Here is a 24,688-nt window from a genome sequence, read left to right as displayed (position 1 = left end):
TGGTCATGGCAAGTTGGTTACTGCTGATGAGTGCCTCTCCATGGAGCTTCCTGAGTGTCCTCATGACATGGCAGTTGGCTTGTCCCTGAGTGAACAGTCCAGGAGGGAGCAGGGCAGAAGAAGCAATGCCTGCTATGACGTAGCCTCAAAAGCCACAGACCATCACTCTCACCACATTCTAGTCATTAGAAGCAAATTACTCAGACTGGTGCACATTCAAGGCAATAGGAATTACACTCCACCTTTGAAACTGTCTTCACAGGGTTCACAGGAATCACATGCTGGATTCTGGGTAGAAACATAGTTATAATAAAGTATTAATCAGCTGCACTTTGGCCACATCCTTGTAACTGAAAGTCAGGTAACACTAGTTACTGACTATTCACATCCCTCTTGCTCCCATTAGGCAGGATTTCTGACCTTAGAATCATTTTGGTTAAGAATTGCTTAAGACGTTCTGATCTTAGAATCTTTTGGTTAAGAATTGCTTAAGATGTTCTTCAGATCCTGAATTGTGAAACTACTGAAACCAACCAGTTTGAAGACTCGCCACAGAGGAACCAAACCTGAATAAGAATGCAGTTGCTTCATCTCCCTGACCCATGACTTCTCCCTGCACTCTTCAACCAGTCAATGATCCCCACACCTTGGCCCACTCCAAACCCCTCAAAATCCCCAGCTCCAAATTCCCTGGGAGGTGGATTTGAGATTTCTTCCTGTCTCCTCATTCGGCTGCCCTACAATGATTAAACTCTTTGTCCACTGCAGTGCCTGGTATCTCAGTATATTGACTTGCTGCACATTGGGCAAATGAAGCTATTAGGATTATGATTACACTTTTGATGGGAGTAGTGCCTAAGAAGTTGTGGACATATGTTAAAACAACACAATCCCTCTTCCTCAGGCCTGCAAATTAATTTGTTTTCTTTTTTCCAGCAGTCATCAACTCCTATCAGACTCCTCCCTCCACAAAATCCCCACTCAACAGTACACAGTCTTCCCAATTTAATTCCTACCAGGCTTCTCTAAACAAGAATAACCTTTGCATCTTAAGGGTTTTACCACTAATCCTTACAGAAAAGAAAAGAAAACTGGCCAGGCACGATGGCTCACACCTGTAATCCCAACACTTTGGGAGGCCAAGGCAGGCGGATCACGAGGTCAGGAGATAAAGACCATCCTGGCTAACATGGTGAAACCCCATCTCTACTAAAAATACAAAAAAAAAATTAGCCAGGTGTGGTGGCAAGTACCTGTAGTCCCAGCTACTCAGGAGGCTGAGACAGGAGAATGGCATGAACCCTGGAGGCGGAGCTTGCAGTGAGCTGAGATCTTGCCACTGCACTACCGCCTGGGTGACAGTGAGACTCCATCTCAAAAAAGAAAATGTTTTGTAGAGACAGGCTCTATGTTGCCCAGGGTGGTCTCAAACTACTGGGCTCAAGTGATTCTCCTGCCTCAGCCTCCCAAAGTGCTGGGACCACAGGCATGAGCCACTGCTGCCAGCCTTACACTCCTTCAAAAAGTCTACAAGGCTATTCGTGATGTTGCTTTGGCTCACCTCCCCTGACATCCACTTTTGACCAGAAGGAACTAGTTTCACCACCAAGATCTGTCTCACCTGTGGGCCTTTATACAAGCTGTTTGCTCCACCTGGAAAGTTTGCCTCCCCAACCACCAACCCTCATCCTGAGACTGCCTCACTCCTACTCACCTTCAGGTGTCAGTTTGGAAGTCTTCTTTTCCAGGAGTGTATGCCTGACTTCACCTCACCCCAAGCTAACGTACTGGGCTTGCTCCCACTTTCCACATGCAATTATAGTTTGCTTTATTATTTATCTATTTATGCTGTTGACAAAAAGGGCCAAACTCTGTAAACTATTTGAAGAGATATGTTCTGAGCCAAATATGAGTGACCCATAATGGCCCATGACACAGCCCCAGGAGATCCTGAGAACATGTGCCCAAGGTGGTTGGCCTACAGCTTGGTTTTATACATCTTAGGGGGACATAAGACATCAATCGATACATGTAAGCTGTACATTGGTTCAGTTCAGGAAGATGAGATGGGGCAGGGGCCTGCTTTCAGGTCACAGGTAGATTCAAAGGTTTTCTGGCAATTGGTTGAAAAAGTTTATATAAAGACCTGGAATCAATAAAAGAAGTATCTGGCTTAAGATAAGGAGCTGTGGAGACCACAGTTCTTATGCAGATGAAACCTCCAGGTAGCAGGCTTCAGAGAGAATAGGTTGTAAATGTTTCATATCAGACTTAAGATAAGGAGCTGTGGAGACCACAGTTCTTATGCAGTTGAAACCTTCAGATGGCAGGCTTCAGAGAGAATAGATTGTAAATGTTTCGTGTCAGACTTAAAGAGTCTGTTTTCTCAGTTTTAAGGTCTCTGTTTTAATGTTAATGCTGGTCAGCTGTGCCTGAATTCCAACAGGAGGAAGGTACAATGAGGCATGTCCCCCACCTCCCATCATGGCCTGAATAGTTTTTCAGGCTAATTTTGGAATGCCCTTGGCTGAAGAGAGGGTCCATCAGCCAGCTGAGAGCTTAGTGTTTTATTTTCGGTGTACAATACTGTTAAAACCTGAAGGCATAAACCAGGTGCTCTATCCTCACCACCTAACACCATGCCTGACTCATAGTACTTGCTCAGTGACATTTGCTGATTGAATTGAGGAAAGAAAAATAGCTCAGAGCAGTCTGAGGTAAGTAAGGTCTACAAAATTTATCAGGTCTAGAGAGACATGAGTATGGGAATTCGGTTAGGTGAGGAGGGTACTCACATACCCATGCCTGCCTGTCCTGGGGGCAATTGTTTAAAGGCATTTTGTTCCTGACTAGCTGCCTCACCCATTATCTTCATGTTTTTGTGTTCTTTGTATCACAAACTCCATTTAAAGGATCTCCATTTAAATTCCATTCCATTCAAAGGAATGGAATTTGTGATACAAAGAATGACACATAGCCAATCAATCAATCAATAAAGAAGAAGCAGTTCCTAAGTTGTTTACCAAGAATTTTTTTAACATAAATTCTGTCTCTTCTTTTCCTTTGGAAACCCACTTGTAACTACCACTAGTTTGAGTGTATATTCATGGCAACTTGAGTCTCTGCTGCCAGGTTGCAATCCTCAAGCTTGGCCAAATAACCTCTCAACTTGTACTAATTTTGCCTCAGCTTCTTCCTTTTAGGTCATCATGTTACAGTACGTAGCTAGGCAGACATGAGCAGGGCAGGAGAGAGGCCCCCCAACCAGAAACATCAGGCAACCATCAGGTGATGGTCAGGTGGTTGTTACACTGTTTCTCTGAAATAATAATTGATCGCAGCCAGTGCCAGGGAAAGGCAGTCTCCCAATAGATAGAAAAAACCTGAAACGTGTGATCAGCAGCTTCCCAATAAGATCTCGGGAGTTGGGCAAGTGGGCTCAAGCATGTGCACTAAGAGGCAAAATGGCAGAGTTTAACTTTCATGCACGTCCGCGTGAAGAGACCACCAAACAGGCTTTGTGTGAGCAATAAAGCTGTTTATTTCACCTGGGTGCAGGCAGGCTGAGTCCGAAAAGAGAGTCAGCGAAGGGAGATAAGGGTGGGGCTGTTTTATAGGATTTGGGTAGGTAAAGGAAAATTACAGTCAAAGAGGGCTTGTTCTCTCGCAGGCAGGAGTGGGCGTCGCAAGGTGCTCAGTGGGGGTGCTTTATGAGCCAGGATGAGCCAGGAAAAGGACTTTCACAAGGTAATGTCATCAGTTAAGGCAAGGACCGGCCATTTACACTTCTTTTGTGGTGGAATGTCATCAGTTAAGGTGGGGCAGGGCATATTCACTTCTTTTGTGATTCTTTAGTTACTTCAGGCCATCTGGGCGTATACGTGCAGGTCACAGGGGATGCGATGGCTTGGCTCGGGCTCAGAGGCCTGACAATAACCTTCTAGAAACATTTGAGTGGCAAGAGAAGAATGCCTCAAGTAAGCATGTGTACAACTGCAGTAAACACACTGCATATGTGGCCCCTCCCAAGTGCTGGCAGGCCACTGCGCATGTGGACAGCCCACCCCAAGGGAAGAATCGGGGGAGAAGGGATGCAAGACCCCAAAATATGCCAACATATAAAACCTTAAGTCAAAGGTCAAACTGTGCACTGGATCTTTTAAGTTGCCTGCTTGGCCTTCTTCCAAGCATACTTTACTTCCTTTCATGCCTGCTCTAAAGCTTTTTTATAAAGTTTCACTGCTTCTCTAAAACTTACCTTGGTCTCTTACTCTGCCTTATACCCCTCAGTTGAATTCTTTTTTCTGAGGAGACAAGAATTGAGGTTGCTGCAGACCCATATGGATTTGCCACTGGTAATAAATGTATTGAACAATTGATCAGAGGCCCTTCATTGCCCTCTTCCAGGTGTCCACATCTCTGTTCTCTGGAAGGCCTGCCTGGGCCCAGGACTGTTTCTGTCACATGCACTTGCCTGAAGAGCCCTGACTTAGTAGACAGGTGGGTGGCTCTTAAGGTGGGTTTAGCTCTTCTGTGACTTTTTCTGTCCTGAGCCTCTATTGGAGCTAAGCCTCATTCACTGCCACGTGATGTGGCAGACTGGCACCACCCTCACCAGAGTTCCAACCTTGTAATCCATGTGACAGATCCCTCCTTCCTCCAAATCTCCAAATAGCAGGGAAATTACTTGTCATTTGGTCATTCTCTGTGCCTGGGTAATCAAAGCTGTCACCTGGGGTGTGTCAGATGACCACTGATTATGGATTCTCCCCTTTCCTAACACAGCCTAGCCAGTCTTCGTCAGACTGTATAGTTATTTTATTTATTTTTACCTTTTTCATTTTTACACCTCTGTTCTAGGCAAACACAAACTCTATAGTAATATCTCTGATGGCATTTGAAGCAATTCTTTATCAAAGTTCTCCAAAGCTAGAAAGACCTGGAGCACTGAAGGTTGTGATCATTTAGTCTCCATTTCCGAACTAGTGTAGTGTGTAGTTTGAGAGATTGAGTTCTAGAGCCACACTGCCTCAGACAGATCCTAGTTCCACCACTCGCTAGGGGAATGACCTTGGGCAAGTCACATGAACTTTTAATTCAAGTTTGTCCAACCTGCAGCCTATGGGCCATATGCAGCCCAGGATGGCTTTAAATATGGCCCAACACAAATTCATAAACTTTCTTAAAATATTATGAGTTTTTTTTGTAATTTTTTTTTTTTTTTAGCTCATCAGCTATTGTTAGTGTTAGTATATTTTATGTGTGGCCTAAGACAATTCTTCCTCCAATGCGGCCCAGGGACGCCAAATGATTGCACACGCCTGTTTTAATCCTTTGGTTGCTCATCTATGAAATGGAAATAGAAAATAATAGTGTCTTTTCTTAGTATTACTGTGAGGATTAAACAAGACCATCCAGGTAAAAGAGCTTAGAACAGAGTAGCTCCTCAAATAAAGGAGAGCTACCATTATCTGTACATAAGAGAAGGCAACGCCTCGGGCAGAATGTTCCCCATTCTCTAATTCCCTTCCTCATCCCACTCCATCCCCTTCACAGTCCCCACTGTAAGTCCTTCCTCAGTCAGGATATTCTTCCTCTCCTATAGGATGAGGAAAACCTAAGCCCACTCTCCTCTTGGTCCTGCCATTTCCTCAGGCGGGTGTCAGTATGGTCTTCCTCCATCCAAGGCTCTGCTAATCAGCTGAGAACTACGCATGTGGGGAGGGATGATGAGCAGAAATAGTGGATTTTTCACCTCCATTTCAGCTCCTCTCCATGAGCAAATGCTGCAGTCTTCTTTCCCTGAATGACCTAAAAGAAAATACCCCTTTGCAATTCATTTTCTTACAAAGACCTCAGTCTAGCATATGTAATGCATGCATATTCTTCCCATTAACACAGCTTTGACCCTACTCTTAAGGAAGTAATTATCCTGGCCTTATTATGCTAAAGAACCTTTTGCCTACGTTCTGACCTGGTTTTTATTACAAGGCGTCTCCCCGTTAACTACAAAGGCTTCCATCTGAATTGGGAGATTAATGGTACCATCTCCTTGGCATAATTTCTCTGATCCCCAAATTCCTCTTTTAATGATAGCTGTTTTTCTTGCTGCTCATTTCGCTGTTCACTTCCATCTTCCTATTTCGAAGCTCCAAACCCTTGTGGGAACTCCCACTCAGCAGCAGTTTCTAGCTGGATGGGCACCTCTTGGTCCCAGCCCACTGTAGAGATGACTAACCCATCCTAAACTCAAAGATGAATCACTCAGATTACCAGCTCCCACCAATTTTTCACAGACCCCGTTACCTCCTAGGGTGCCCATCTCATCCCACCCTGTCCTCCTGGAACAGTGGTTCTCACCTTTGTCCACTCCTCCGGCATGCACTTGTGCTCACATTCCTAGCACCAGTGTTATGAAAGAGGGGTCCCAATCCAGACCCCGAAAGAGGGTTCTTAGATCTTGCACAAGAAGGAATTCCAGGTGAGTCCACAGAGTAAAGTGAAAGCAAGTTTATTAAGAAAGTAAAGGAATGAAAGAATGGTTGCTCCATGGACTGAGCAGGGCATTTCTGAAAGCAAGAGGAGTAAGGCGCCCACCTTATTAGGTGCAATGCATGTTTATATATGAGATAACAAGGCAAAAAATCATGAAAAGGATGTGGTCTATTACAAGGGCTCATGACAAAGGATTGTTAATCCTTGTGTAACTACTGACTTTTGCAAGAATCTATATTACTATCTTTAAAGCAAAATTTATTACTAAACAAAGAATGCTTTTGTGCTTAAGATAGCAGGACATCAAGACATTTCTTGGGTCTGTTAAGTCCTGGGTCTGTTTGGTAAACATTATTAACCTGTTCCCTTAACTGTAAACACCCTGTGACTGCGAATCCCTAACCTCCTGGGAATGCAGCCCAGCAGGTCTCAGTCTCATTTTACCCAGCACCTATTCAACATGGTTCCAAAGCTTCTGACAGTAAGACACCCCTGGATTTTCTTTTTTCTTTTTTTTTAAACTTTATGCTTTGTGGCATTAATAAAACCGTCCTCAGGTAACGCTCTATCCCCAGTCCCAACCATTATTACAAATCTTCCCACAACTGAGCAACACTCCCCCACATCCCATTAAAAACCTGCATTCTCTACCTATTGTATTCCAGAGCTACAATTTCTAGAAGCTTCTTAAACATGCAATAACAACAAACACAATTCCTTCTAAGGGAAAAGAAGGTCCAACCCCATCGCAAAATTCCCCAAGAAACAGGAAAGCGTTAATTCCACCTTAAATCCCAAGCAGTCAATAACCCAGTGCCCATAATGGGCTCTGCAGATCACCCCACCCCACCATCTGCCCCAATTTCCAAAATCTGCTCAGCAACCAAAGCCATTAAATCCAGAAACTAATTTGTAAGGAAAACAATGAAAAGAGTAATAATCTCTCCGTAGGATGCCAATGGAAGGTCCCACAGGGACTGGTGCACTGTAGAGAAAGGAGAAGGGTACCTGGAAAGAAATGCCTATTAACATTCAAAGCCCCCTAGTGGAATGGAAGCTGACCTGCTGCAGAATGAAAATGTCCCAGCCCACAGGAGCCTGCACTCAGGTTCGCTTTATTTATCCTGCAAACAGGAGTTGCTAATAGCAAACAATCTTGGGCCTGCTCCCCACAGCTCAGGGGTAGCTCGCAGCGCTGTCCCCAAGACACGTGCCTGGGTTGCTTTGGAGCAATGCTATTTGCAAAAGGAGAAAAAGAAAAATGAAGCAGGGATGTGGAAGTGGGAGAAAGAGCCAGAAAGGCTGAAGAGTAAGCTGGCAGAGAGGGCAGTCTGGTGGTCTTTGCACAGTTGCTGCAGCGGGGGCCAACCTTGCCGAAGGGAAATACTGATGTGATCTTCTGTTCTTCATGGATGGGGGCCAGATACTCAGAAATGGGGAGAGATTCACCTTGAGTCATCCAGTGAGTCACAGACAGGAGGCAGAAATAGATCTTATGACCCACTGTTCACTGTCAAAGACATCTTTTAGCATCTGTAACCAGGATTCCTGAGTGGGGATGGATTCGGGTGCTCCTTGCATTCAGATTGGTTCATTTGATGAGATGTCTGTTCTCTTCCATTCCAAAGGCAAGTGATTTAAAGTCAAGACAGACCAGGATCTTCAAACAAACTTTCCTGGCCAAGGCTACCTCTCTACTCACATTAAGTATGTCTGTTTCCCATTGTTGGCAAGGTAGAATTCATTTGCTTCCTGTCTCTCCTTTGCCCGACTGCTGTCTTGCTTCCACAACACCAAGTCCATCTAGGAATTTTAGATCTCGCTGGGGCCTCATGCATTCCAGAAAGCCTTTCTTGATTAGATTGCCCCAGTTTTGTTCTTTTCTCTTACTTGTATTTTATTAGGGCTTGTGACAGACAGTGGGAACTGCTTACCCAACATCCAAGGTCCCTTCAGCTCCTATGTTGTCAGAAGTCAGATTCAGTTCTGATATTCACCCTCCCCCTGTGCTCAAGGAGGGTGTTCCTTGTCACACACGTCCGTGTGAAGAGACCACCAAACAGGCTTTGTGTGAGCAACAAGGCTGTTTATTTCCCCTGGGTGCAGGTGGGCTAAGTCCAAAAAGAGAGTCAGTGAAAGGAGATAGGGGTGGGGCTGTTTTATAGGATTTGGGTAGGTAGTGGAAAATTACAGCCAAAGAGGGTTGTCCTCTGGTGGGCAGGGGTGGGGGTCACAAGGTGCTCAGTGGGGGAGCTTTTGAGCCAGGATCAGCCAGGAGAAGGAATTTCACAAGGTAATGTCATCAGTTAAGGCAGGAACAGGCCATTTTCACTTCTTTTGTGATTCTTCACTTGCTTCAGGCCATCTGGATGTATACATGCAGGTCACAGGGGATATGATGGCTTAGCTTGGGCTCAGAGACCTGATATTCCTGTCTTCTTATATTAATAAGAAAAATAAAATGAAATAGTGGTGAGTGTTGGGGCAGTGAAAATTTTGGGGGGTGGTGTGGAGAGATAATGGACGGTGTTTCTCAGGGCTGCTTCGAGCGGGATTAGGGGTGGCGTGGGAAGCTAGAGTAGGAGAGATTAAGCTGAAGGAAGATTTTGTGGTAAGGGGTGACATTGTGAGGTTGTTAGAAGAAACATTTTTCGTATAGAATGATTGGTAATGACCTGGATACGGTTTTGGATGAATTAAGAAACTAAACGGAAGACACAAGACCCGAATAAAAGAAGTAGAAAAACAGATATTAAAGGACTAAGAATTGGGAGGGCCCAGGACATCCAGACATCCAGGACATTAGAGAGTGCCTAAGGGGGTTCAGCGTAATTACTTGCTTGGTCCCAAGTTTAGGCTCTATCCTTGAGTTTTTTTATGTTGTCACAAACCAAGTCAGACTGATTTAGGTAAAAACAACACTTTTCATTTAAAAATATACAGAGTCTTTTTTTTTTTCAGTGTGTAAGTTGAGGCCTCAGCGATTTTGGAGGAAAGAGAAATGCAAAGCCAGCAATTGTTTGTTAAAGAAGGATTAGAAACGGCTAGGAGAGAGTGAGAGAGATTGATAGTGTGGTGGAGATAGCTGGGGAGAGAGGTAGAGAGTGGCATAAGAATGAGAATGAGAATAAGAGTGAGTATAAAAGTAAAGAATAGGGCTTCATCAGGGTGAAAGTATTGGAGCGTACCCTGTCAGCAAAGATTATCTATCCACTTTAAGAGAGACTTAAGGGTGGCGGTTTGAGGTAAAACCAGGAGATATCAGTTATGCTGGTTCGAAGGAAAAGTGTAAACCGGCAATGTAAACAAGAGCAGGGCATTTATGGGTAGATGAGAATGGCGAATAGGAGTATGACTAGACAGAAGACAGTAGGGATGACAAGTTTTTGGGGTGCAGTTCAAGTTGGGCTGGTGTCTGGAATGAGACTGGGGCCTAATAAAAAGGAGCATCCATACAGGAGCGCAAATGGGCTGTACCCTGTAGCAATCCGAATTCTGAGAAGGGCAAGTGGTAAAAGTACTGTCCAGTCCTTTTTAAGTTGGAGGCTGAGCTTGGTGAGGTGTGTTTTGAAAAGACCATTAGTCAGTTCTACTTTTCCTGATGATTGAGGACGGTAAGGGGTATGAAGGTTCCACTGAATACCAAGAGCCTGAGAAACTGCTTGGGTGATCTGACTAGTAAAGGCCTGTCCATTATTAGACTGTATAGAGGTGGGAAAGCCAAACTGAGGAATTATGTCTGACAGAAGGGAAGAAATGATCGTGGTGGCCTTCTCAGACCCTGTGGGAAAGGCCTCTACCTATCCAGTGAAAGTGTCTACCTAGACCAAGAGGTATTTTAGTTTCCTGACTCGGGGGATGTAAGTAAAATTAATTTGCCAGTCCTGGGCAGGGGCAAATCCCTGAGCTCGATGTGTAGGGAAGGGAGGTCACAGGGCCTGAATAATCCCTGAGGAGCAGTAGCATAGCAGATGGAACACTGAGAAGTGATTTTCTTGAGGATAGATTTCCACAATGGAAAGGAAATGAGAGGTTCTAAGAGATGGGCTAGCAGCTTGTAATCCATATGGAAGAGGTTATGAAATGATGACAGAATAGAATGGGCCTGTGAGGCTGGAAGAAGATAGTTTCTTTGGTCTAAGAACCATTTGCCTTGTTTGGGAAGAGACTGATAGGTGGAAGTTTCAGTGGGGGAGTAGGTGGGAGTGACCGATGAGAAGGAGAAAAAGTGGCCGTGAGGGAAAGGAGTTGGAACACTAGTTGCTTCTTTAGCTACCTTATCAGCATAAGTGTTGCCCTGAGCAATGGGATCTGATGCCTTTTGATGGCCCTTGCAGTGAATGACTCCAGCTTCCTTTGGAAGTAAAGTGGCCTTGAGAAGAGTTTTTATTAAAGAGGCATTAATGATGGAGGACCCTTGTGTAGTGAGGAAACCTCTTTCAGCCCATAAAACAGCATGGTGGTGCAGGATATGGAAGGCATATTTAGAGTCAGTATAAATATTGACGCGTAGTCCTTTTGCAAGAGTGAGGGCTCGAGTTAAGGTAATGAGTTTGGCTTGCTGAGAGGTAGTGGAGTGGGGCAGAAAGTATATGCATCAGGTTTGAGGAAGAAAATCGATTTTGGAAGTTATGAGAACTGTAGAGAGTGAGTTGAGCACAGTTTGTGATTTTGAGGGCCTCTAAAAGTATTATGGCGGTGTCAGCCACCACGTGGAGACATGATGGCCAGCCTAAAACAGTAAGGTCAAGTTGTTTGGACAAAAAGGTTACAGGGCATGGTCCGGCTCTTGTGTAAGAACTCCGACCACACAGCCTTGCATTTTGGCTGTATGTAATGAAAAGGGAGTGATGAGTTAGGGAGAGCCAGTGTGGGCGCCACATGACAGAACAAGTGAGGCAGAGTTAGCAGGCTTAGGATCAGCTGATTTCAATACTTTCAGTGGGCTCTGGGGCATAGGGACCATCCATAGTTGCCTGGTACCTGACCCTGGGGTGATCAGGGCAGGTGGATAGTGGCCCAGAGTATGAGAGCCCTGTGAGTGCCTCATAAAGGAGGTGGTTGGGGTGTGGGCTCTGGATGGGTTGGTTTGTATCTGAAAGTCACACTTCTGGGCAAGTGATTTACTGTCTCCAGGAATTGACTAGCCCAGACAGGGACAGTTTCTCAAGGGTCAGCAAGGCCCCCAGAGGTCAAAGTATCAGAAATACGGCAAATAGAAAGGCATGATTAATACAATTACCCTGGGAGCTGCTGCCAACAGAATTCCTGAGAAGACACTCCAGGCTCCTTGAATTTGTTGAACTACCCTGAATTCTCTAACTTTAATGTTCTCATTATATGACATAACAAATCCCTTACTGTTTTAGCCATGTTATTCAGCTATTAAGTTACTTGCAGCTGAAAGCATCCTAACTGATATGGTATTTAAGCCTTCAGTTTACTCCAAACGTAAAAATCCTAACTCCAACTTGTTTTGTTGCACTAGAATTGCTTTTTCAAAAAATAATAATAATAAGTTGCTGGCCGGGTATGGTGGCTCACACCTGTAATCCCAGCACTTTGGGAGGCTGAGGTGGGTGGATCACCTGAGATCAGGAGCTCCAGGCTGGGTGAAACCCTGTTGTTACTAAAAATACAAATTTAGCCAGGTGTGGTAGCGTGCACCTGTAGTCCCAGCTACTCAGGAGGCTGAGGTAAGAGAATCACTTGAACCTGGGCGAAGGTTGTAATGAGCCAAGATCACGCCACCGCACTCCAGCCTGGGCAGGAGAGTGAGACTCTGTCTCAAAAAATAAGAAGAAGAATAAAAAATAAAAATAAAAAAGAGTTGCTTGAAATAACATCATTCCCAGGCTGCGGGAACTACAGATGAAGTCACAACTGGTCACATTTGTTTAGAATTTTTTTTTTAATTTTTAATTTTTTTGTAGAGACAGGATTTCACCACATTGTCCAGGCTGGGCTCAAACTTCAGGGCTCAAGCGATCTGCCCACCTTGGCCTCCCAAAGTGCTGGAATTACAGGCATGACCCACCACACCCAGCCTAGAGTTTCATATTTTTCAGCCTCTCTGAGTTGCTGCATAACCTCTCCAGAGTTAAATAGGAAGTGAACACTAAGTGTTCTGAATCGAGTTGAAGAAGGAGAGAGGTATCTTGTGTTCATCTTTTTCCCCTCCTGATTCCTGAATCTTCTTGTCTGACATTTCCTCTTGAAAATATGTTTGGACTTAAAGCAGGCGAGATGATTGGAAGAGGAGTTGTGATTAGGAAGGGAAGAAGGTAATGAAATTTGATGTTATTAGACTGTAGGACCAAATAAGCAAAATGGGGGAAACATTCTCAAGACTTCAGTTTACTCCAAAGGTAAAAATCCTAACTCCAACTTGTTCTGTTGCACTAGAATTTCTTTTTCAAGCAATAACCTTAGAAGAAATAAACTTTCAAGAAATAACCTTAGAAGACAAGGTTTCTATACTGGCTTGGGTGCTATATAGATATGTGTCCTCTGCCAAATCACATCACATTTCTAGGCTTCAGTTTTCTTAATCATAAAATGAGGTAATTGGACTAAATCAATCCTGGTCACTGCAAACCTACTAAAAATTCCATAATTATAAACAGATCATCTCAATCTTCTTTCTGCTAAAACGCCAACCACATACAATCAAGTTCTTTATTAGAGACAAAGACTGTTACATGAATTGAAAGGACTGGTTGTAAATGGCTCTATTTGGCAGGGCCCTCTACCAAGATATGGAAATAAGTATCATCCATGCTAATACTAATACCACCACTATTATGTGTCAAATTGTGTTCCTACTTTCCAGTACCACAGAATGTGATCTTATTTGGAAATAGGGTCCTTGCAGATGGAATTGGTTATGGTGAGGTCATATTGATGTTGGGTGGGATCTTACTCTAAAATAATTGGTGTCCTTACAAGAAGAGGAGAGAGATATACAGAGAATACCATGTGAAGACACAAAGACACACAAAGAGAGTCAGCCTGGCGTGGTGGCTCACACCTGTAATCCCAGCACTTTGGGAGGCTGAGGCAGGTGGATCACCTGAGGTCGGGAGTTCAAGACCAGCCTGACCAACATGGAGAAACCCCATCTCTACTGAAAATACAAAAAATTAGCCGGGCATGGTGGCACATGCCTGTAATCCCAGCTACTCAGGAGGCTGAGGCAGGAGAATAGCTTGAACTTGGGAGGTGGAGGTTGTGGTGAGCCGAGATCGCGCCATTGCACTCCAGCCTGGGCAACAAGAGTAAAACTCTGTCTTTAAAAAAAAAAAAACACTCACGAGGAGAAAACAGCCATAAGACGACAGAGGTGGGAGATTACAGCGATGCATCTACAAACCAAGGAATGCCGAAGATTGCCAGCAAACCAACAGAACTAGAAGAGGCAAAGGAGGATTCTCCCCTATAGGTTTCAGAGACAGCACGGCCCTGCCAGTGCCCCAGTTTCAGACTTCCAGACTCCAGAACTGTGACACAATAAACTTGTGTTATTTTAAACCATCCAGTTGACGGTATTCTGTTACAGCAGTCTTAGGAAATGAATACAACTACCAATAGTTCACATTCATTGAATGCCAACAGCTAATATTCACGAATATTAATATATTACTGTGGGCCAGTGCTAAGTATTCTATGTACAGAATCTCTTTCAACTGTCACAACAGGCTTATGAAGTTAATACTATTTTTATCTGTATTTTACAGGTGAGGAATGTAAGATCTGGGGAGTTAAGATCATGCCCACAGTCATCTAGGTAAGTGATGAAGTTGGAGCTTTGAGCTGCAGGATCCTTTGGTGTAAGGGTTTAAGGGGATTTCATATATAATATTTGAGGCCTCTGTGGATACCATGCTTTTTACAATATTCACTTTGTTCTGCCTGTTTATAATTTGTTTGTTCAACCAAATTGAATGAATAATAAAGCACTGCAAATTTAACATGTCCCATATGGTATTCTTCATTTTTCTCTTCCAAGCCTCTTCTTCGATTTCCCGTTAAAACACCTCCTTCAGGTTGGACATAATGACTCATGTTTGTAATCCCAGCATTTTTGAGGGGTGGGCAACATAGTGAGATCCCACATCTCTATAAAAATCTAAAAAATTAGCTGGCATGTGCCTGTGATCACAGCTACTTGGGATATTGAAGTAGGAGGATCACTTGAGCCCAGGGGTTCAAGGCTGTAGTGAGAGCTATGATCGCACCACTGTACTCCAGCCTGGGAGACTGTGTGAAACCCTATCTCAAAAACAAAAACAAAACCTCCTTCCCCCAGTCTCAGTTGGAGACTGCATTTGTTCAAGCCACAATCCTGAATCATCCTCACTTTCTCCACTCATCCCACCCACAGAAAAAACCAGCAGGTCCTGGCTCCTCGGACTGTGTATTAAATCAAATCCTATCTCACCATCCCTACTGCTGCCTGTCCATCCTAGCCCCCAGCCTTCCTCCTCTGAGTTTACTGCTATCAACAGAAAGAGTCAAACTCTGTAAAATATTTGAAGAGATGTATTCTGAGTCAAATAGGAGTGACCAGTGGTCTGTGACATAGCCCTCAGGAGATCCTGAGAACATGTGCCCAAGGTGGTCTGGGCACAGCCTGGTTTGTTTGTTTGTTTGTTTGGTTTTTGAGACAGGGTCTCACTCTGTTGCCCTGGCTGGAGTGCAGTGGTGTGATATCGCTCACTGCAGCCTCAACCTACCAGACTCAAGCAATCCTCCCACCTAAGCCTCCAGAGTAGCTGGGACTACAGGCACGCACCACCACACCTAGCTAATTTTTGTGTTTTTTGTAGAGATGGGGTTTCACCACATTGCCCAGGCTGGTCTCTAGCTCCTGAGCTTGAGCGATCCTCCTGCCTCAGCCTCCCAAAGTGCCAGGATTACAGGTTTGAACAACTGCACTGGGCCACAGCCTAGTTCTATACATTTTAGGGTTATATTAGACATCAATCAAATATATGTAAGATGTACATTGGTTCAGTTCTGAAAGGTGGGACAACTAGAAGGGGTGAGGATGGGGCCTCCAGGTTATAGGTAGATTTAGAAATTTTCTGATTGGCATTCGGTTGAAAGAGTTAAGTTATTATTTAAAGACCTGGAATCAATAGAAAGGAATGTCTGGGTTATGATGATAAGGGGTTGTGGAAACCAAAGTTTTATTATGCAGATGAAACCTCCAGGTAGCAGGCTTCAGAGAGAATAGATTGTAAATGTTTCTTATCAGACTTAAGGTCTGTGTTGATGTTAATGCTGATCAGCTTTTCCTGAATTCCAAAAGAGAGGAGGGTATAATGAAGCATGTCTGACCCCCTCCCCCGTCATGGGATCCCATTTGGGCACCCCTCACTCTCCTGCAAGAGAGAGAGCTGTTCTCCTTTCTTTGTTTTGCCTATTAAGCCTCTGCTCCTAAATCAGCTTCTTGTGTCTGCGTCCTCAACTCCCTTGGTGTGAGACAACGAACCCTGGGTATTTTTTTTTTTTTTTTTTGAGACGGAGTCTCGCTCTGTCGCCCAGGCTGGAGTGCAGTGGCGGGATCTCGGCTCACTGCAAGCTCCGCCTCCCGGGTCACGCCATTCTCCTGCCTCAGCCTCCCAAGTAGCTGGGACTACAGGCGCCCGCCACTACGCCCGGCTAATTTTTTGTATTTTTAGTAGAGACGGGGTTTCACCGTTTTAGCCGGGATGGTCTCGATCTCCTGACCTCGTGATCCGCCCGCCTCGGCCTCCCAAAGTGCTGGGATTACAGGCGTGAGCCACCGCGCCCGGCCCCGAACCCTGGGTATTTACCCCAGATAATGATGCCACTTCAGAGAGAGATGAAAAATAAGCAAAAAAAAAAAAAAAAAAAAAAAGCTAATTAAAATATATGTAGGCTAATTTTGCCATACTACACGTAGGCATATAACCCCTACCTATATAAGCATTAAGAAAATTGTAACATTTTGAGTTGGTCTGGTGGAATTATCTCCGACCTTCTCTCTGTATCCAGTTACAGCAATAATTCCTAGTTTATCTGCTTTTTGTTATTGGGCCATGAGAAAACGCAGCCAGACCCGGCTTGGTTCCGGGAACGGGATTAGAGGAGTGAGCCTGTATGTAGGCTAACTTTGGAATGCACTTGGCCAAGAGGAGGATCTGTTCAGATGGTCAGTGGGGCCTTAGAATTCTACTTTTGGTTTAGACTGCAATCCTAACCAGCCTCCCTGCTGGTAGCTTCCACTGCGGCTCCATTCCTCACAAAGCAGCTGGCGTGGGCTTTTGCTGTTTCAATCAGCTCATATTACTCTCCTGCTTAAAACCCTGCAGAGGCTTGTTGTTAGGCTTTGAATGAAACCAACTTCTTCCCTGGTCCACAGGCTAAGATGGTCTGGCCCTTGCCCTCCTCCCTCACCTCATTCTCACTCTCTAACCATACTGCTGCCTCCCTCTCTGTGATCCTCAAACATTCCTCAGGGCGTCTGTACTAAAATACGTTCCCCCTAGAGCTTCACCTGGTGGCCTCTTCTCATTATTCAGGTCTCAGGGCCCTTCCCTGATCCCCAGATTTAAAACAACCCCAGTTCCTAGCCCCACTCTATCTCATTACTCTCCTTCATTTCCTTCATTCTCTGAAAATTAGCCTACATATGTTTTAATTAGCTTTTTTTTTTTTTTTTTTTTTTGCTTGTTTTTCATCTCTCTCTGAAGTGGCATCATTGTAAATACCCGGGGTTCGTCATCTCACACCAAGGGAGTTGAGGATGCAGACACAAGAAGTGGATTTAGGAGCAGAGGCTTAATAGGCAAAAGAAAGAAAGGAGAACAGCTCTTTCTCTTGCAGGAGAGTAAGGGGTGCCCAAATGGGACTTCCGGCCTGCAGCAGAGTGCACTGGAGTGCACCGGATTTTATAGACAGGCTTGAGGAGACGGTGTCTGATTTACATATGGCCCACAGATTGGTTGGACCAAGTGTGAGGTTTACATAGCAGGAGGGGACACTGGCCACCCCACTCTAATCTTATTATGCAAATGGGCTTTCCACTTGGCCAGTGCCATGTTGTCTGCTCCCTACTGCACACATGGCTGGAAAGGAAAAGGGAAGATGGAGCCGCCATGTTAGACATGCCTAGCCCCAGGTAGCCTGTTGGCATAACTGCCGGCACTCACCTGTGCAAGCTTCTAGTCGGCCTTTCTATGTCTGCAGCTCAATTTTACAGGCTGCTCTTTGTTAGAAAAGAAAATGATTTGGGGGCTGCTTTTCATTAAAAGGAAAACCTTACTGAGGACTTCCTTACCTTCACTATCTGCCTAAATAATTCATTTTTAACTCCTATATCATCTCCATTAGGATTGAAACTTCATGGGAGCAGGGGCCTCCTCTATCCTGGTTTACTGCTTCATTCCAATGCCCAGAATAGTGTCTGACACATAACAGGTGCTTCATAAAGGCTGCATGAGTGAAACATAAAGGTTCTCACCCTGGGGTCCATGCTTTTGGTGTCTCTCATGTCTTTTGCTGCTCCTAGTTCAGTGTTGTGGCCCAAACAAGTGTTCATCGAATGCTTACTGGCCGGATGACCAGAGAATTCTTTCTTCTAGAATTTCTGATCTTCTCAAATATAAAATTTTCTGGGTGGTCCCAGTATTTCACATTCAGAAATCCATCACACAGTGCACATAGATGAGACTCAGACATTTGTTTTCCATTTTTTCTCTAGAGGGTATCTCTGTGAAGCAAGACAAGGTCATCCTCCACATCCTCCGCATGAATTGACCTCCCCCAAACTTGGGGCCTAACTGTCCAGCTGAGCTCATATATGTAAGTACTTCCTGGATTTTTAATTACTTCCAGAATAGAGCACACATTTGGAGCCCCTTCCCAGTCATTCTGCATGTCCTACCACTCCAGTCAAACTGCTTGGTATCTTGAGTTTTTCTGTCGCAGGGGACAAAGAAGAAAACTAAGAACTATATATATTTTTAAATTAAGTCCATATTTGATGCTATTCTCAGATGCATTGAATCTATTTGTAATAAGTGAATGTGGATTTGTATTTCTTAAAATTGTTTTATCGACCGTGCACGGAGGCTCACACCTGTAATCCCATTCCCAGAACCAAGCTGGGTCTGGCTGCATTTTCTCATGGCCCAATAACAAGAAGCAGACAAACTAGGACTTTATTGCTGTAACCGGATACAGAGAGAAGGTCGGAGATAATTCCACCAGACCAACTCAAAGTGTTACAATTTTCTTAGTGCTTATATAGGTTGGGGTTATGTGCCTACGTGTAGTACACCATTCACCTAAGTCTATTGGTAACTAATTTCGTTTCAACTAGAAGGTCAGACGCAGAAAAATGCTTGCTAAGTCCGATTAAGCTGTGAGGGCCCTAGTACCTTAAAGGCCTGTCTACTGTGGTACCAGAGTGATTATTTCTGTCTTATCTCCTTTACAGCTTGGTCTGGAGAGCTGCCTCAGACTCTCCAATGGATCTATTCAAACAGCTGCCTCTGTTACCTTGACTCGTCTCAGATTTCGTCGAACTGAGACAGGTCCTGGCACTAGGAATGTAAGGCTGTCTCTATTATTTTGATTTGCTCCAACAAGGGAGAAGCCCATGCAAGGCTCCTGCTGACCATATGTTTCATTTCTAGCTTTGATGTCTGGATATCGATTTCCCTAGGTTTAACTGTTTGCTCAACATTAAGGCAGCTCTGTGGAAATTTGTCTGTGTAATTGGAGTGCTATGCAGGCCTGTCTGTGTGGCTGTCTGTCATGCAGGCCTGTCTGTGTGATTGTCAGGGAGAAATGGCCTGCCACAGTCCCAGCACTTTGGAAAGCTGAGGCGGGTGGATCATATGAGGCCAGGAGTTCAAGACCAGCCTGGCCAACATGGCAAAACCCCATCTCTACTACAAATACAAAAAAATTAGCCGGGTGTGGCGGCACATGCCTGTAATCCCAGCTACTCAGGAGGCTGAGGCATGAGAATTGCTTGAACTTAGGAGGCGGAGGTTGCAGTGAGCTGAGATCACACCACTGCACTCCAGCCTGGGTGACAGAGTGAGACTCTGTCCCCCCCCTAAAAAAATGATTTCTCCATTTCCCTCAATAGTCTTTTTTGCTGGCTGTATTAGTCCATGTTTACACTGCTGATAAAGACATACCCGAGACTGGGAAGACAAAGAGGTTTAATTGGACTTACAGTTCCACATGGCTGGGGAGGCCTCAGAACCATGGTGGGAGGTCAAAGGCACTTCTAACATGGCAGCAGCAAGGGAAAATGAGGAAGATGCAAAAGTGGAAACCCCTGATAAACCCATCAGATCTCATGAGACTTATTCACTACCATGAGAACAGTATGGGGGAAACTGCCGTCATGATTTGAATTATCTCCCACTGGGTCCCTCCCACAACATGTGGGAATTATGGGAGTACAACTCAAGATGAGATTTGGGTGGGGACACAGCCAAACCATATCATTCCGCCCCTGACCCCTCCAAATCTCATATCCTCACATTTCAAAGCCAATCATGCCTTCCAACAGTCCCCCAAAGTCTTAACTCATTTCAACATTAACCCAAAAGTCCACAGTCCAAAGTCTCACCTGAGATAAGGCAAGTCTCTTCCACCTATGAGCCCGTAAAATCAAAAGCAAGCTAGTTACTTCCTAGATACAATGGGGTTACCGGTATTGAGTAAATACACCCATTCCAAATGGGAGAAATTGGCCAAAACAAAGGGGTTACAGGGCCCATGGAAGTCCGAAATCCAGCAGGGCAGTCAAATTTCAAAGCTCCAAAATGATCTCCTTTGATTCTATGTCTCACATCCAGGCCATGCTGATGCAAGGGGTAGGTTCCCATAGTCTTGGGCAGCTCCACCCCTGTGGCTTTGCAGGGTATAGCCCCCAACTCCTGGCTGCTTTCTCAGGCTGGCGTGGAGTGCCTGCAGCTGTTCCAGGTGCAAGTAAGTGCAAGCTGTCAGTGGATTCTGAGGTCTGGAGGACAGTGGCCCTCCTCTCACAGCTCCACTAGGCGGTGCCCTCATAGGGACTCTGTGTGGGGTCTCTGACCCCACATTTCCCTTCTGCACTGCCCCAGCAGAGGTTCTCCATGAGGGCCCTGCCCTGCAGCAAACTTTTGCCTGGGCATCCAGGCATTTCCTTATGTCTTCTGAAATCTAGCTGGATGTTCCAAATCCTCAATTCTTGACTTCTGTGCATCCACAGGCTCACCACCACATGGAAGCTGCCAAGGTCTGGGGCTTGCACCCTTTGAAACACTGGGCTGAGCTATACCTTGGCCCTTTTTAGCAAGGGCTAGGGCAGCTGGGATGCAGGGCACCAAGTCCCTAGGCAGCATACAGCATGGGGACCCTGGGCCCAGCCCATGAAACCATTTTTTCCTCCTAGGCTTCTAGGTCTGTGATGGGAGAGGCTGCCATGAAGACCTATGACATGCCCTAGAGACATTTTCCCCATCGTCTTGAGGATTAACATTCAGCTCCGTGTTACTTATGCAAATTTCTGCCGCCATCTTGAATTTCTCCTCAAAAACTGGGTTTATCTTTTCTATTGCATCATCAGGCTGCAAATTTTCTGAACTTTTATGCTTTGTTTCCCTTTTAAAACAGAATCCTTCTAACAGCACCCATGTCACCTCTTGAATGCTTTGCTGCTTAGAAATTTCTTCTACCAGATACCCTAAATCATCTCTCTTGAGTTCAAAGTTCCACAAATATCTAGGGCAGGGGAAAAATGCTGCCAGTTGCTTTGCTAAAACATAACAAGAGTCACCTTTGCTTCAGTTCCCAATAAGTTCCTCATCTCCATCTGAGACCAACTCAGCCTGGACCTTATTGCTCATATCAGTATCAGCATTTTTGTCAAAGCCATTCAACAAGTCTCTAGGAGGTTCCAAATTTTCCCACATTTTCGTGTCTTCTTCTGAGCCCTCCAAACTGTTCTAACCTCTGCCTGATACCCAGTTTCAAAGTCGCTTCCACATTTTTGGGTATCTTTTCAACAACACTCCACTCTACTGGTACCAATTTACTGTATTAGTCTGTTTTCATGCTGCTGATAAAGACATACCCAAGACTAGGAAGAAAAAGAGGTTTAGTTGGACTTACAGTTCCACTTGGCTTACGAGGCCTCAGAATCTTGGGGGGCGAAAGGCACTTCTTACATGGTGGCGGCAAGAAAAAATGAGGAAGATGCAAAAGTAGAAATCCCTGATAAAACCATCAGATCTCATGAGGCTTACTCACTACCATAAGAACAGTATGGGGGAAACCACCCCCATGATTCAAATTATCTCCCACTGTGTCCCTCCCACAACACGTGGGAATTATGGGAGTACAATTCAAGATGAGATTTGGATGGCGACACAGAGACAAACCATATAACCCATTAACTTTTAGGCTCTAAGAGTGGTTCTCAACTCAAAATCCAAGGCAGGGGTGGTGGGAGAGGGAGTCTCTCCAGGTCCCACAGTAAGAACTGCAGCAGTAGGGTTCCTGAAGCCCTTGAAAAGTCTGCAGAAGCAGAGATAGCTGAAGGAAGATTGAGCCTTAGATGGCAAGCCCTGGACTCAGTTGCTGCTGTTCTGAGAAAACAACATCACACAGGACATAAAGTCTGCAGTGTAGCAGTTTGTATAGGGCCCTGCCCTGCTGTCACCACAGTCACCCATTTCCATTCAGCGTAATTACTCCAAACCAGAAAGGAGAAGGAGGAAAATGATTTAAAGAGAATTAAGTAAACTTATTTATGGTATTTGCCTGTAGGAAGGAAGCAGCAGTATATTTTGAGCAAAGTTACCTTCCAACAAAACTATCCAAATTCTTCCTCTTTTAATCAAAGGTGTTGAGAAAGCAATCTGATTAAGCGTTGTGTTTTGGTTAAGATTCTTTTGGTTAGGCCAGGTGCAGTAGCTCACGCCTGTAATCCCAGCCCTTTGAGAGGCTAAGGTAAACTGATTGCTTGAGTCCAGGCATTCAAGAGCAGCCTGGGCAACATAGCAAGACTCCATCTCTACAAAAAATACAAAAAAAAGTAGCCAGATGTGGTGGCGTGTGCTGGTAGTTCCAGCTACTTGGGAGGCTGAGGTAGGAGAATCACCTGAGCCCCAGGAACTCAAAGCTGCAGTGAGCCATTATTGCACCACTGCACTCCATCCTGGGTGACAGAGCGAGACCCTATCTCAAAAAAAAAAAGATTATTTGGTTGTGAATAATAAAAATCTATTTGAGCTAGCTTAAACAAAATAGGAGAATGAATGATATGGATATACGAGTATCTTACAGAACCCAAGATCAGGGAGAAGGTATGTCAGGAGAGAGTTAAACCAGGAGCTGGAAAACCTACAGAAACCAAATCAGCCATTTCTTGTTTTTCTCTCACTCTAGGTTCACAAAGACTCTCACCTCTGCTTCCCTCTACGTCTCTCTTCCACTCTTCTCTCTCCATAGACGGGCTTTCTCTGCTTCTCTCTAATGAGCAGATAGCATGAGGCAGGGAGGATTCTCAAAGGGATTACTGAGGGCTAGGCATCAGTCCCCCAAAATATCTAATCCATGTCATTACCCCATAATATGGCCCCATGATACATATGGCCACCTTTTCATTCTGCCACTCTTGCTGCTCTGTTCCCTTAACTCCTGTGACCTCAGGTTGTTAAAAATGACTATAATCTGGCCCTTTATTCATAGCTTTTCTTATCTGAGAAAGTATCATTTGTTACTAGAACTTTCTAACAAATACTAAAATCATTTTTCCAGAGTTGTTATTTTCTTCTTCCCAGATGCCTGAACAGGTGTCTCCAAACTCCTAATGCACATTCACTCTCAACCTTGGGAACTGAGTCAGTGGTCCTGGGGCCATTTTAGTTAAGGCTAAGATATTAATGTAATAATAATAATAATAATGGGAAAAGGGAAGGAAAGAAGAAGAGGAAGTGGACATGGAAGAGGAGCTAGCAATTAATGAACATTTACAACTGCCGGGGATTGTAGCAAACATCTTAGGGACTCAGTGGCCAGTCCCTTCCTCCAGCAATTTAGACACATTGATAGCTATAATTGTATTACACACCCACATTCAGGATCACTGCTGTCCCCTAGAAGTCTCTGCAAGTGCTTGGTTTGATTGCACAAAATATTTCTGATTATTTTCATTTACACAAATAGCTTTCATTTGTACCTAATCACTATGAAGCACAAATATGATTATGTGCTGATTAACTTTGCTTTAAGATTAATTTCAACATTAAACTCTGCCCATTATTTTAGGCTTCTTAATTTGTTGTGTGTACGGAATTGATTGTATATTCAAACTTAAAGCAATTAGAGGACACATCATGTCCTGGAATATTAGGATACAATACAGAGGGCGCACAAGTCCTTCCCCAAGCAGTAGAGATAATAGAATATTCTGAACAATTAACCTTAAGATATCTGAATATCTTTTTTTTTTTCTTTTTGAGACAGGGTCTCGCTCTGTCACGCAGGCTGGAGTGCAGCAGCATCATCTCTGCTCACTGCAGCCTCTGCCCCGCCAGGCCGAAGCATCAATCTTCCTACCTCAGCCTCCTGAGTAGCTGGCACCACAGGCACGAACCACCACACCCAACTATTTTGTTTGTATTTTTAGTAGAGATGGAGTCTCTGCCTTATTTCCCAAGCTGGCCTCAAACTCCTGATCTCAAGTGATCCTCCGCACCTCAGCCTGCCTCCCCCAAAGTGCTGAGATTACAGGCATGAACCACGGCACCCAGCCCTGAATATCATTTTGAATTTTAGAGTCATGGAGGTATACGATATGGTCTAGTTGTATTTTTAAGGTGCTAAACAGAGAGGTGGGCAGTAAGATACTGTGGAGGAGTACTGGTACTAACGTCAAATGCCATGGCCAGACTGCCTGCAACATTACTAGCTATGTTACCTTAGGGAAGTAGGGATGTGGGACTGTGTAGGGGAAACTAATATTTGTTGAATATATACTATTATAAGTACTAGCACTGTCAGATGCTTTAGGAATAGTAGTGGTAGTAATGAGAACAATCATATAGAAACCCAGATAGCTAGCATTTATTAAGGTCTTTGTGTAGGCCATTGATAATGGTTTGGGTGTATGTCCCTGCCCAAATCTCATGTCAAATTGTAATCCCCAATGTTG

The 24,688-nt window shown here is 44.5% G+C and overlaps 5 annotated features.

Moving 5' to 3' along the window:
- Nucleotides 2,216–2,798: an enhancer, noted in NCBI's record as "OCT4-NANOG-H3K27ac hESC enhancer chr1:114580831-114581413 (GRCh37/hg19 assembly coordinates)". NCBI's record gives its function as "activates a minimal SCP1, AML or CMV promoter by ChIP-STARR-seq in naive H9 embryonic stem cells {active_cell/tissue: H9 hESC(naive)}" and the evidence as "EXISTENCE:reporter gene assay evidence [ECO:0000049][PMID:30033119]".
- Nucleotides 3,383–3,965: an enhancer, noted in NCBI's record as "OCT4-NANOG-H3K27ac-H3K4me1 hESC enhancer chr1:114579664-114580246 (GRCh37/hg19 assembly coordinates)". NCBI's record gives its function as "activates a minimal SCP1, AML or CMV promoter by ChIP-STARR-seq in naive and primed H9 embryonic stem cells {active_cell/tissue: H9 hESC(naive and primed)}" and the evidence as "EXISTENCE:reporter gene assay evidence [ECO:0000049][PMID:30033119]".
- Nucleotides 5,686–5,980: a silencer, noted in NCBI's record as "tiled region #7982; HepG2 Repressive non-DNase unmatched - State 22:ReprW". NCBI's record gives its function as "represses a minimal TATA promoter and a strong SV40 promoter by Sharpr-MPRA in HepG2 cells {active_cell/tissue: HepG2}" and the evidence as "EXISTENCE:reporter gene assay evidence [ECO:0000049][PMID:27701403]".
- Nucleotides 8,635–9,218: an enhancer, noted in NCBI's record as "NANOG-H3K27ac hESC enhancer chr1:114574411-114574994 (GRCh37/hg19 assembly coordinates)". NCBI's record gives its function as "activates a minimal SCP1, AML or CMV promoter by ChIP-STARR-seq in naive H9 embryonic stem cells {active_cell/tissue: H9 hESC(naive)}" and the evidence as "EXISTENCE:reporter gene assay evidence [ECO:0000049][PMID:30033119]".
- Nucleotides 9,803–10,386: an enhancer, noted in NCBI's record as "H3K27ac hESC enhancer chr1:114573243-114573826 (GRCh37/hg19 assembly coordinates)". NCBI's record gives its function as "activates a minimal SCP1, AML or CMV promoter by ChIP-STARR-seq in primed H9 embryonic stem cells {active_cell/tissue: H9 hESC(primed)}" and the evidence as "EXISTENCE:reporter gene assay evidence [ECO:0000049][PMID:30033119]".

The sequence above is a fragment of the Homo sapiens genome, chromosome 1, assembly GCF_000001405.40.
Source record: "Homo sapiens chromosome 1, GRCh38.p14 Primary Assembly".
NCBI classification, from domain to species: Eukaryota; Metazoa; Chordata; class Mammalia; order Primates; family Hominidae; genus Homo; species Homo sapiens.
This window is presented reverse-complemented; position numbering and strand designations above follow the sequence as displayed.